Here is a 14,016-nt window from a genome sequence, read left to right as displayed (position 1 = left end):
AGCATCCAGACAACCTCAGCTAATCCTTGAACTTGGAAGTGCAACCGTTCCCCAGGCAGGGCAGGAAAAGGGCAGAAGCACGGCGGGTGCGGGGCACTCTTTTGAGTGCTCATCAGCCAACTTGCACATTTCCTGTGACGCTTTCTAGTCAACTAGGTCATCGGGAACAATCTACAACCCAGAATCAATAAATAAGGCCCTGATTAAGCTGCTGCCTTGGCCTACAGCAGACTTCCGGTGTCGGTCCAACTGAATGGAGGGTCACGGAACCCTCCTCAGGCCACATCACACTAACCAACAGGCAGGGCTCTGAGCAACTTATCAACGTTATCACAAATATAAACTGAAGCCTGGTGATCTGATTTCCCCTGGTGTGCCTCTAGGCTCTCCTACTTCTCTGGATCACAAGAGAGGGTAGGGTGAATATCAGTCTCACGTGGCAGCCTCTGCGGGGCCTCACTGTATGCAGCAAAGTACGAGAAACCACATTTCATGATGATTGTGCAAAGCTTCATGAAAGGTCAACCTCAGGCTCTTGCTGTGGTGATAATAAGGCAGACAAGCGTGGAACACATTTTCTTTTTTTTTAATGGTGGAAGCTGTTCTGAGATGTTCTAAGGGGACAATTTTACATTATGGTAATCTATAAATATTACAGTATAAATGGTGCTTAGAACTAGCTCTTTTATTGATGCAAAATTCATATAACAGGAAATTAACCATTTTAAAGTGAACAATTCAATGGCATTTACTACATTCACAATGTTGTGCAGCCACTACCTCTATCTAGAACATTTTTATATGGTGGGGACAATTTTACATTATGGTAATCTACAAATATTACAGTATAAATGGTGCTTAGAACTAGCTCTTTTATTGATGCAAAATTCATATAACATGAAATTAACCATTTTAAAGTGAACAATTTAATGGCATTTACTACATTCACAATGTTATGCAGCCACGACCTCTATCTATCAGAACATTTGTATCACCCCAAAATAAAGCCCTACCCCCGTGAAGTAATTCTGCTCCATTGCCGCCTCTTCTCAGCCCATGGCAACCACCAATCTGCTTTCTGTTTCCATGGATTTACCTATTCTGGATACTTCATACCAATGAAATCATACAATATGTGACCTTTTGTGGCTGGCTTTTTTTGAGCATAATGTTTTTGAGGTTCACACAAGATGCAGCATATATGACAATTTCATTTCCTTTGATGGCTGAATAAAAGTCCATTGCAGGCACAGGCCACATTTTGTTTATCCACTCATCCACTGATAGACACTTGGGCTGGTCCCACCTTTTCGCTACTGTGTAAATAGGGCTGCTATGAACATTTGTATACTTGTTTGACCACCTGTTTTTTAATTCTTTTGGGCACACACCTAGGAATTCACTTTTGATATACAAAAAAAATGATAACATGTTTAGGACCAATGAACTTGAAATCTCAAATCTCCATAATGTTTGTTCCAAGGAATAATGACTTTTTAACTTTCTAAGAAATCCAGATCCTAGAAGATTTCCAGAACTACAAGTTGCCTTTGACATACTACCACAAATGATTTTCCTTGACATGACAATAAAGATAATAAAATAGCAGTAATGTTAATAATAATCACACATAGGAGGTAATATTACTGGCACTCTTTTATAAGCCCAGAACTATGGTAAGTATTATCCTTGCCAGCATAATTAGTATTCCATTTTCCATACAGAAAGTCACATAGCCCTAAAGCAAGCACCAAACCCAGTCCTACCACACCAGAGCCCATATTCTTCATCTAGCAGCCTACTTGTTTCCTTTCACTTCAAGCAACCCCTTTATAAGCAATCAGCATGTATGCTGAGCCTGGTCTCAAGCAGCATATCTGGATTTCAGTCACAACCTGCATACCCTGTCACCATATGAAAGGGACATCTATGACCTTCTAAATGTGACTCCTACCCTGCAACGTGATAGATCTCATGCGTCCCTGACAACGTGTGTCCCCATCAGCAGTTGCGCATGTTTAATGTCTATCATCATATGAAGCCATAAGCTCTAGCAGAGGAGGACTCTAAGCCTGTCCCACCACAAAACTCCCCATCTGTACAAGACACCTGGCACCTCACATGCATTCACTAAACACGTGCCCAGTGAGTGGGGTCTGCATTCACCTGGTCCTCCACTGGCACATGCTGCAGGCTCTCAGTTCTCCCTTCTCCCCTCCTCCGCCCAGCCCCGCACACCTCCTGGGGGCAGGCATGGGTCTCAGGGTCCCCTTGGAGACCTGCCTCCCCCCTCATCCATGCGTTAAGGCTCAATGGAGCTTGGGATGACCAAGGGAAGCACTCCTTCCAGACAAGCTCAGGAAGACTCTGCCTCCAGGGCCCTGAGTGCCCCACAGATACATCCACAGAAACACATGTGCCTTCCCAGCCTGGCAGGCAGCACTGAACAGACGACTGTGCAATTATTCTCAGGACAGGCCTAGGATCTTCCTAGTTAATGAGCACTGCCTTAATTTCCTGTACAGCGGATTTTAAAATTCATCCTAAATCATCCAGATGGTCATCAAGAACCAGTATCTCTTCAACCCGAAATACTCAGTAAACAACTTCTATTTGACTACTGGTCTTTCTCCCACTGGTAAAATTAAAACCAACTTTTTAAAGGTAACCATTTTCTTTCCCTGTTTTAATTTCTTCCAGTAGCTTAATAGGGAAAAAATACGGGTCCTTTGTGATTCCTTTCATGATTAAGGCTGCTAGGAAACTGTCTTGGCATGACAAGGGAACCGGGTCAGGGATGTTAGAGAACGTTTGCCGACAGAACACCAGTCCGGGAACCCACACACACCAAGCCTGACGTCCTGCGTGTGCGGCAGTACCGGGGGCTGTTTAACTGAGATGCATTGATGCTGGTTCATAAATCCTCTCACATACCCACCCAGCTGGGCCAGTGCCCCTCTGCTGACCACACACAGCCCAGCCTGTATTGTCTCCATGACAACTCAGCGCTGGTGTGGAGGAGGACCGTTGGCAGCTGTGTCTGTGCGGAAGCATGTGCTCACCACTCGCCTGCAGCAGGGTCTCCAAAGGAACGAGCGCTCTGAGCCTTCAGCCCAAGTAGACATCATCACCAAAAGAAACACACCCTACTCGGCCCCTGTGAGTGCAGCACACAGTTAGAGGCGAAGGGGGCTCCCTGCGTCCCACACACCAGGAAAGCAGTGTGGAGCTGCGGGATGCTGGTGGGTCTGTGCAGACAGCTGGCTTCGTGCTTGCCCTCATGGTGCCTGCACAGTCCTGCTTCTGCACCAGCTCTTCAGGGTTCCATCCTTCAAAAGGTCTTGCTTTTCAGAGGTACCCTCAGGGGATGTGTAGCCATCAGCTCCAAGACCCAGTTTTTGGTTGGGCAATTGCTAGAGATTTCACCTAGACAAGCAAGAAGCAGCTTACTAGGAAAAAGGCTGTCAGACAGTCATTGCAGAGGGCTGTGGGGGGTTCTGACCCAAGGGTACATCTTATTCCTCAGACCAGGGAGGGATAAGTCCAGCTCCGACAGCTGGCCAGAGGCAGACGGGCTGCCCTGAGTGGTGGGGGCAGGAGGCCCGGCCATGACACAGGGATGGGACAGGGCAGCACCCCAATGTCACTCAGTGTCAAGATATGGTTCACCCATACCAGATGTACCCAAAGACCCCATTCTGAAAATTATCCATCACCATGTTGAAAGAACACACACAAAGGAGGATCCAGGGCTGTGAGTGTGTGTGCGTAGCGGTTAGAATCTCAATTCTGCCTTGGGATGATTCTAGCCGCATTCAATACTCCAGTTATAGGATACTTATATTCAATTCAGATTTGTACAGCATTTTAAAGATAGTCAGATACATTGTGGGCCTCAATACTGATACCACAAAAGTCCAATACTGAGGACACACGACTTTCTGTGCAAACAGGCAGTGAATTGGCAGAGGGGGGCCCTTCGTCCTAAATGACAATGCAGCACCCACCACGTATCTGGATATGGGGCTTCTGGCATCCTGGGAACCACACGGGGCCTCACCCCATTGTTGGTCCCCACTCCAGAAGGTCCTGGCTGGGATGCCATAGTTACAACTTGACTATCTTGAGTTTGAGGGGTTCCCTGGGCTCTGTTCACTGCTGTCATGTTGGCTGACAGCAAAGTCTCACGTTGATTTACGGGAAAGTGAACAGCAATATGGTCTGTATCCATTGTTGAAAAACTCTTACTCCAAAAGCCAAATGTGAAATGTTTTTACTCTACAGTTTTGAGCTTTTGGGTTGAGATTTTCTTTGCACATCCCTCTAGGTTCCTCCTGGGAGGAGCTGTGTCTCTGAGGAAGGAGATGTTTACAGATTTCACACCAAACAAGGTAGGAGACTCCTGGGTGCAGGGCCAGGGCTTTTCTGGAGCAATTCATTCCTGGTTCCCTGTTGCTTTTCCATTTCAAGCCGGCAAACCTTGTTTTGCTCATTAGCAAATACTCCAGGAAGCCAAGCACACACCCTCACTGCTTCTGGCTCTCTGCCTGCACTTCGCCCCGTTCGCTGGCTGGGTGCTTGAGCTGGGGTGGAATGGATCAACACTGACTCCGCCTTAGACTAATGTATACTCAGGACATCACCAGGCACATAGTAAATGTTCAATGAGGGGTGACCCAGAAAATGGAATAAACATATAAAAGAAATTGCAATTCAGAAGCAGAACCCACTTAGCCATGGAGGGCCCCGCTGGTGTCTCCCTCCTGATGCTGTGTGAGGCAGGCAGTGTCGGTACAGGCTCCTCTCACAGGTTCCCTGGCCACTCCATCCTACCAACGCTCTGTCACTGTGACTTCTGTCTGTAACAGTTTTGGTTTTCCATGGGCAGGTATGCCTGGCCCAACATCCCCAGCTAGAGAAAGGTCAATCTACATAAGAGGAGTAACAGTCCAGGAACGGTCTCCAAAGGATGCTCCAGACACCACCTGCGTGGCCCAGATACGGGGCCAAGACACCTATGTCATACCTCTGCTTAGCACCCAGTATCTCTGGGTCATGCCCTGCACCCGTGGCCTCCTGGGATGAAGTCCGCTTTGACCTGAAACGGCCACACTGCCCCGGGCTGTCACCGCTGATCACAGAGGAATGGATGGGTTCTACTCACCCTCCTGTCCACATTAAGTCCAGTGGCTCAGAGCCCCAGCTCAGGCAGTGGAAACAAGAAGAAATGTTTCCTTCCCTGTGGCAGCTGCAGGCACCCTCAGCCAGTCCTACAGCAGGAATCACAGCCACTCTATGAGCCTGCCTATCCCGCTAGGCAGCTTTCTGACTCTGAATGGCAATCCTCCCCATGCCCGGCACTCCAACAGGGCTGCTTGCCACCTCAGGCAACCACAGACTCGCCTTAAGGTTACGCTTCAGGTGTTCCAGCCTAACCAGCATCCTCACCCCCCAGATCTTCCTTGTGACAGGCCACATGCTGCCCCAATTTGCTGATCATCAATCCAAACACTCCTCCAACACCCCCAGGTGGGGGCTGAGACTGCTGGGAGGAGGGTGGTTGGGTAGAGAAGAGGGACTGGTGCCCCTGCCCCACGGCAGCCAAGCTCACGGCATCCTGCTTCCTTCAGCTTCAGACAGTGGCTTCAATCGCAATCTATTAAGTATTTCATCACATTCTCTTTCCTAGGGCTTCATTAATTTCTGTACAGCTAGGAATTCTCTGTACAACCAGCTTATTAGTAGTAGTTACGTTTTGCTTTCCTGGGAGGGGATGAGGGGACACTGGGACTGAGGATGATGTAATGAACAAATGCCTGAGCACACGAACATTCTGGAGTCTTGGTCCCAATTCCTAAAATGCACAAGTATCTTGGTAACTATCTTCAGTTCCCCTCACCCCTCCCGGCTGCTCTGTCACCCAGGCTGGAGTGCAGTGGCACGATCTCACCTCACTGCAACCTCCACCTCCTTGGTTCAAACAAATCTCGTGCCTCAGCCTCCTGAGTAGCTGGGACTAGGCACACGCCACCATGTCCGGCTATTTTTTTTATTTTTAGTAGAGATGGGGTTTCACCGTGTTGGCCAGGCTAGTCTCCAACTCTTGGGCTCAAGTGATCCACCAGACTTGGCCTCCCAAAGTGCTGGGATTACAGGCATGAGCCACCACGCCTGGCTTGGCAACTATCTTTTAAGCACTACCTGGTGCTTAAAGTCAGAAGAAAGGGGGGCTGGATTCTTAAAGGGTTAGGAGGATGTGGTCGGCCAGCAGAGCCATGGAGAAGCACCAGTGTTTTCTGGAAATTACACGGTGTGTGGGGAGGCTCCCTCTGTTCTCCCGGGGGGAAGGCAAGGTTTTCCCATCTTGGCTGCTGCTATCCTGCCTTGTTTGGTGGCAGTCCCTTTATGTCATTTCAAAATACCATGAATGAGAACTTGGGAATCTGGCTCTATCACAGTAGCTGCTCCCAGGGCGAAGGTTGGAGAGGAATCTCAGCCTGTGGTCCCTCTCCCCCAGGGAAACTGCCTATGATGCCCACGCTTCCAATGCCACTCAGCACAAAATCCACGTGCGGCCCTTGTGCCTCGTGGCTCCATGGACAGAGCACAGTGCGGGACAAGAGAAAGGGCTGTGCCTGGGAGGAGCTGTCCTCAAGCCTCATCACCTGGGCATGTCTTAGGGCTCAGAAGGTCCTCCTCAGACATTTGTGTCCCCCAGAAAACGGAAAAAGATACAGATGCTTCCTGACTTATAATGGGGTTACATTTTGATAAACCCAACATAAATTGAAAATATCATTAGGTCTGAAATTCATTGAATACACCCAACCTGGCAAACCTCATAGCATAGCCTGGCTCACCTTAAACATGCTCAGAACACGCACATTAGCCTATAGTAGGCGACATCATCAGACTCAAAGCCTTTTTTTTTTTATAATAAAGTATTAAATAACTTATGCAGTTTATTGAACACTGCCCTGAAAGTGAAAAATAGAGTGATTGTGTAGGAACTCAAAGTAAAGATTCTACTGAATGTGTATCGCTTCTGCACCATCTTGAAGTTAAAAATTGTTCAGTGGGGGACCTCTCCCTGGAGCGAGGCCCAGTCAAGCCCTGTTGGGGAGGGAGAGGCCCTGTGGTCGGGCAATGGGGCCAGGCTCCTGCTGGACAGAGGTTGCTTGGGAGGCCACTGAGGGGAGAAAGGAGCTGCTGCAGCCACACTCCTGGGCCCCTGGACAGGACAGGATGGGAGAGGACAGAGCACCCCAGCTCTCAGCCCTGCTGCAGTTGTGCGGGTGAAACGGACATCCCCACTAAGGGTCCTTGGACTCTGTGTCCAGTCCTTGTGGGTGAGGGGGTCTTCCAGACTGTCCCCCAATCCCACCTGGAGCCCAGAGAAGGGGCCGCACCTCACTTCAGCAGGCAGGGCTCAGGGTTTTCCATTCCACACAGAAACCACTGGGGAAGATAAACCTATTCTAGCCTGCCCATCCCCTCCATCTCTTTTAACATCACAAACATCAGCAAAAGTGACGACCAAAGGAGGTGAGTGGAGCCACCCAGCCCCTTCCTCCCCATCGGCCCCTTCTCTGGGCTCCAGGTGGGATTAGGGGACAGTCTGGAAGACCCCCTCACCCACAAGGACTGGACACAGAGTCCAAGGACCCTTAGTGGGGATGTCCGTTTCACCCGCACAACTGCAGCAGGGCTGAGAGCTGGGGTGCTCTGTCCTCTCCCATCCTGTCCTGTCCAGGGGCCCAGGAGTGTGGCTGTGCTGCAGCAGCTCCTTTCTCCCCTCAGTGGCCTCCCAAGCAACCTCTGTCCAGCAGGAGCCTGGCCCCATTGCCCGACCACAGGGCCTCTCCCTCCCCAACAGGGCTTGACTCGGCCTCGCTCCAGGGACAGACGCAGAACTGTGTTCTGTCTGATGCTTCCCTGACATGCACTGAGAAACAGGGAAGGGAGAGTAAAAGAAGGGAAAGGGGATCACGGGTGGGGCTCCTGCCTCCCAGACCTCAGGGGTGGCAGCTGGGAGTGGCTCCCCTGGCTCCCGGCCCTCCCTCAGCCTGGTCCACCCATCACAGCCGGCACTCGGGGGCCCTCATTAGGAAGCAAACTTGATAGGCTCTGTTGGAAGGGAGTGGGGCTGATCAAAGAAGCAAGCACAAAGACTTTCCACCTGTGTCTCAGCAACACTGACTCTGTCTTTATGAAAAGCAGCCCGGGAGCCAGGCTTCCTCAGTGCTGCTTCTCTTTTGCGTCTCTTTCTTTCTTCGGGCAAGCTCAGCACTTGTACAAAGCGCACAGTGATCACCTTTGGGGTCTTTTTGGGTTTTCTTCCCCTGGTATGCTTGTGTTTGGATCCTGCCCTTTCACCAGCCATGACCTCCCACAGACCTAACAGGAAGCTATGTCTGGTTCCATTGTGTGCCTTTACATGCACTTCCTATTCAGAGGAAGGGAGATTCCTAAAAAATATGACGAAACCTAAGCACACATGGGGAAATCACCGATCGGAAGCAACTCCCATCCTGTTTGACCACCTCCCTGGCTGATTACTGAGCGATACCCATCAGAGACCAGAGGCATTCAGGGTGCCTTCACTGATAATGTATCTCAGTACTGAGCAATGCTTTTATCCACCTCTGTCTGCAGGTATTATTGTTTGTTCTTCAAGTCTTATAAAGACACAGATTTGCAAATTAAGAACTGCCACTTACACGTATTTGTAAATAAGCCAGCTCACAGACATCCTCTCCTGCTCAGGGACATACATCAGCTTGTCCTTAGTGGGAGGCGGTCTGCAGCAGTGGTCTCCAGCTCTGAATATTTGGAGGGTGATTAAATAACATGAGGTGACTCCCTCCCTGGCTCTCTCATGCATGTGCGAGTGGGCACACGCTCACCCCTGTCTCTTGTTAGGCTGTTAATGAAGCAAGCGTGGGCCGTGTCACTGCCCACTGACTACGGCTTAGAAGCCTTCCCAATCTGTGGCTGAGCACTGGCTCCTGAGCTGCCCTTTGTGCTGAGGACTCTGCTGAGCTAAGCCCTGAGGGGAGCCCTGCTCTGCACTCCAAGGTCTCGGTGACGGGCATCAGGCACAAAACGTCCCTGGTGTCACCAGTGGTTTAAGGACTTCACTGTATTGAGGAGAACAATGAGAGTTGAAGGCAGTGAAGGGGCAGATTAAGGATACCGTTCTGGGACCACTCCCAAACATAGGTGTCCCTTGTCAAGTCCTCAGACTTGTTCCTGCGAGTCTTGTTGTATCGGAGGACACTCCTGCTTGGGGCAGCCTCTTGTCAGATGCAGAGTGGATCCTGTGTATACATACATACACACACAACACACACACCATACAACACACACACAACACATACACACAACACAAACATGCAAATAACACATGCACGCACAACACACACAGCACACACAACACACTGAATACACATACACACAACATACATATGCACACAACACACAACACACACATGCACGCACAACACACACCATACACAACACACACAGCACACATGCACCTACAACACACTGAATACACATACACACAACACACACATGCACGCACAACACACATACCATACACAACACACACAGCACACATGCACATACAACACACCGAATACACATATATACACAATACACACACATGCACATGACACACATGCGCACATAAGCAAATGTCTGGGCTCCCAAGGATTTCTCCAGGGCTCGGTGGGTAATTTCAAGTTTCCTTCAATCTCTGAAACTTCAGACTGGGCACAGCTGGTGCTGGCAGGGTCTCAATGCCCCAGCTCAGTGGTGTCCACCCCCTTGACCCACCCAGGACCTCTCATTATTTCTCTCTGCCCTTGCAACCCTGCATATTAAAAGCTTTTATGTGCCAATCTCTTTTTTTAAATTAAACATTTTTTATTGATAAAAACCCTGCAACTTCCCTTCAGAGTTTCTGACTATAATCAGATGACCTGTGGCTATAAATTCAACCCAAATCAAAGACACATTCTGTTTCAGCGTTGGCCACCTGGCAGGACCCATGCAGGCCCCTGGGGGGCTTTCTGAGTCATCTGGGAGAGGAAGAGCCACACCTGCCCTGAAGGAGACCTGGGCTTGCAGGGACCCCAGCCTATACTGGCCTATAGCAGCCTAAGGGTGGGCAGCAGGGTGCCACTGCCCTGAATGGGTTATTTCCACGCTGGGAGGTGGGGGCTCACTGTCAGGGTGGGGCTTATTTCTAGAATTACAGTGTTTCCTTCCACCATCTGATAAACTGTGAGGAGAATGGATAACAGGAAAGGTCAATTTTTCTTCCATTTTGCAGTATTTTGCTTGTTTTCCGCATCTCACCCATCTCCAGCAGTTGGCGAACACAGCCCACGAGCTGCCCTCAGAGCTCCCCTGGCCTTGTCCTGCCTTGGCCCTTTAATCCTAATGTGCAGCTGTTCTCCCTGCCTTCCTTTCCACTAGGAACCCTCCTGGCTCTCTTCAATGTTCCTTCTTAAATAACAAGGAAAAAAAAATAAAACACACACCATCCTATTTCGCAACGCCTCAAGTGGGCAAAGTCTAAGCAGCCCACTCACTCTGCAGGGAGCAGGCCAATTAGACTGCGGTCCACAAGAGCTGGCCAGGTTCCCCAGGCTGATGATGCCTCTAAGACAGAGCATGCGGCTATCTCTGATGCATGTTCCCTAGTCCCCCTGCCACCCACAAAATCCTACATTTCTTACAAGAAGAATTATGCTAGGAAGGCAGACTGAGATGTCTGGGAAACATAAGGATGTTTAAGATGTCTGTCCAACAGGAAGTGGAAAATAGCACACTCCAGAAAGCCTCAGGAGGGTGCGGCATGCACGGTAGGTGATGGCCAGACTCCACGGCCCTCAGAAGAATGAGATGCCCGCCCAGTGGGCCTGGGAAGGGCACTGGCTAAGGATACACAGAAAGCCCTTACGGAAACATCTAGCATCCACTGGGCTCAGTGGGAGGGGCTGTTATCATCTCTGTTGTAAAATTCACCACCACCTAGACTCCTGACCTCCTGACATCCAACTGTCAGCTCATGCACATGGTTTTAAATCGTGCCTTGAGATCTTACAAAAAGCCTGGCTTTGGCCCTGAGACTTGATTCACTTTGCCATCTTCTATCTATCGAGCACCTCTAAGGGTAAGAAGCCCAGCAGGACATATAGGGAGGTAGATGGGGAGCACACACAGACTTGGGGTGGATCGTGGGGAGGTGGATGGGGGGCACCCACAGACTCGAGGTGGATCCTGGGGAGGTGGACGGGGAGCACCCACAGACTCGGAGTGGATCCTGGGGAGGTGAACGGGGAGCACACACAGACTTGGGGTGGATCCTGTGGAGGTGGATGGGGGCACCCACAGACTCGAGGTGGATCCTGGGGAGGTGGACAGGGAGCACCCACAGACTCGGAGTGGATCCTGGGGAGGTGAACGGGGAGCACACACAGACTTGGGGTGGATCCTGGGGAGGTGGATGGGGGGCACCCACAGACTCGAGGTGGATCCTGGGGAGGTGGACAGGTAGCACCCACAGACTGAGATCTGTAGCTTAAAGACAGGGAGGAGCTGGAACAGCCCAGATGGTTTTGCAAACCATGTAGGGCTTCTGGAGTGTCCTGACCAGGGAATGACTTGTCCAGCTCTCATTCCTTTCTTTCTTTTTGAGATGGAGACTCGTTCTGTTGCCCAGGCTGGAGTGCAGTGGCACGATCTTGGCTCACTGCAAGCTCCGTCTCCTGGGTTCACACCATTCTCCTGCCTCAGCCTCCCGAGCAGCTGGGGACTACAGGCTCCCGCCACCATGCCCAGCTAATTTTTTGTATTTTTTTAGTAGAGACGGCATTTCACAGTGTTAGCCAGGTCTATCTCAATCTCCTGACCTCATGATCTGCCCACCTCGGCCTCCCAAAGTGCTGGGATTACAGGCGTGAGCCACCGCACCCGGCCTCACATTCCTTTCTATTAATAGTACAGTCTCTCCACTGACAGACTGTCCTGGCAGAATGAGCTAAGTTCATCTATTAGCTTTGCTCAAGGAATGAAAATCCACCTCCTAAAAGCAAATTCTCTACCTGGCTCCCCAGGAATAAAACTGAGAGAATCAATCTTTCTATGTATGCATCAGCCCCCTAATCCACAGAGGACATTTTAAAGTCTCCATATTCTAGCTACTATTTCATTACTTATTTGATTGAAGGCTGTCAATCAAGAATTTTACAACCAGAAAAGCTACCTATAAAAAATAAAGACAAAATAAACACATTCCAGATATACAAAAACTGAGAAAATCTGATGCTAGTTGATCTACCCACCTTATAGAAAATAGCAACGAAAGCTTTTTTAGGCTAAAATCAAGTGACCACAGATAATAATTTAAACCAACATAAAATGACAAAGAGCACTAGTAAAGACAGCCGGGTCATTATAAAAGATAGTATGAATGCACATGTCTCTGCCGTTCTTAACTCATTTAACAAAGTGATTGCGGCTGGGCGTGGTGGCTCACGCCTATAATCCCAGCCCTTTGGGAGGCCGAGGTGGGTGAATTACCTAAGGTCAGGAGTTCGAGACCAGCCTGGCCAATATGGTGAAACCCTGTCTCTACCAAAAATACAAAAAAAAATACAAAAAACGAGCCAGGTGTGGTGGCGGGCACCTGTACTCCCAGCTACGTGGGAGGCTGAGACAGAAGAGTTGCTGGAACCCGGGAGGCAAAGGTTGCAGTGAGCCAAGATCATGCCACTGCACTCCAGCCTGGACAACAGAGGAAGACTCTGTCTCAAAAAAATAAAAAAGAAAAAAGAAAGTCTTGTATGAAAATAAAAATATAATTTTATCATTGGGCCCATTACATATATAAATGTAATATATTTTCCAATAATGGAACCAAGGAGGTAAGTGAGAACAAAGCTATTTGCGGATAAAGAATTATCTCCTGATAATAACTTGAATGCACCAACACAAATGGGGTAAACCAGAAATTCAAAATAAGGTTAATATCACAAAAGTTGTAGACATACAATTGCTCTTTCATTTCTCAGCTTCTTTAAAAGAAACAACATTACGTAAAATAATAAAACAAGAAAACCTTTGAAGGATGAGGCCGCAAGGAAAGGGCCTGGGTAGGTTTACCTGGCTGCAGAGAGTGGGGCCTCCGGACACTGTCCTATGGGCTCTTGGGTACCCCACAGGCACCATGAGAGGTTCCCAGGGCATCGAAAGCAGAGTTTGAAGGCAGTAACCCCAAAGCTCCTGCAATCAGCATGGCTGCCCCCAGGTACAGTGAAAGCACCACCCTCCTGGTGCTTTTCCACCGTGGTTACTCGAGACATTTATCTCTCCCATTTACAAACCACTTAGACAACTGGTTTCTCTCCAAGCTTTCAAGCCTCAGATGGTTAAATGCAGAATCATGATGTTGGTCTTCTTTAAATAAGACTGTTAGACAAATACAACTGTAACCATAACAGGAAAGACCCCAGCACTGTAATAATAAGCATTTCCCAGGGCTTTCCTGCCCTGAGGCCGAGGGCACCTGTGGGCTTGCTCATGCTTGCTGGCACCGTTGGGGCTGGTGCATCAGCAGCCGGGCCACCGACCTGTCTCCTGCTCTAGCCACTCTTAGGGGACCTGGTTTTATAGAGCTTTGTGGCCCTTCCTCTGATGTAATGAAGTGGAATGCTACACATCCAGTAAAGATCTTAATACACACCACACTGAATGCATCAACATGTCTCGTATCAGCAGAGAGCCCAATTAATAAATTTAAAAAAAAAAGGCAAGCCTCAGTTTCCCTACTATAAGTGAAGGGGTGGGGAGGCTGACCAGTAGGGTGACCCACCTCCCAAACACTGTATAAATCCATGACAAAGGCTTGAAATGCCTGCCGATTACACTGATTCTCAATGAGCCAAATTTTAAATACACACCCAATTCAATAAGAGTCCTAAGCTTTACCTGTCGTCATGGGGC

The 14,016-nt window shown here is 49.2% G+C and overlaps 2 protein-coding genes across 3 annotated transcripts in view, besides 2 other annotated features; both read right to left on the bottom strand.

Annotated features, from left to right (window-relative positions):
- Window positions 1-14,016, bottom strand: part of RANBP2 (RAN binding protein 2) — a 1,122,820-nt gene that overhangs the window by 566,626 nt on the left and 542,178 nt on the right. The window lies entirely within an intron of this gene.
- The window catches only part of SH3RF3 (SH3 domain containing ring finger 3), a 375,430-nt gene that overhangs the window by 228,959 nt on the left and 132,455 nt on the right, over window positions 1-14,016 (bottom strand). The gene's annotated exons all lie outside the window — the stretch shown is intronic.
- Window positions 403-603: a silencer, noted in NCBI's record as "fragment chr2:109891529-109891729 (GRCh37/hg19 assembly coordinates)". NCBI's record gives its function as "represses an EF-1alpha promoter that drives an FKBP-Casp9 reporter gene in an ReSE screen in K562 erythroleukemia cells {active_cell/tissue: K562}" and the evidence as "EXISTENCE:reporter gene assay evidence [ECO:0000049][PMID:32094911]".
- Window positions 8,369-8,663: an enhancer, noted in NCBI's record as "tiled region #14332; HepG2 Activating non-DNase unmatched - State 8:EnhW, and K562 Activating non-DNase unmatched - State 22:ReprW". NCBI's record gives its function as "activates a minimal TATA promoter and a strong SV40 promoter by Sharpr-MPRA in HepG2 and K562 cells {active_cell/tissue: HepG2 | K562}" and the evidence as "EXISTENCE:reporter gene assay evidence [ECO:0000049][PMID:27701403]".

This window comes from Homo sapiens, chromosome 2 (assembly GCF_000001405.40).
Source record: "Homo sapiens chromosome 2, GRCh38.p14 Primary Assembly".
In the NCBI taxonomy this organism is placed as follows: Eukaryota; Metazoa; Chordata; class Mammalia; order Primates; family Hominidae; genus Homo; species Homo sapiens.
Note: the sequence above shows the minus strand (reverse complement) of the source record. Positions and strands in the feature narration are given on the sequence as shown.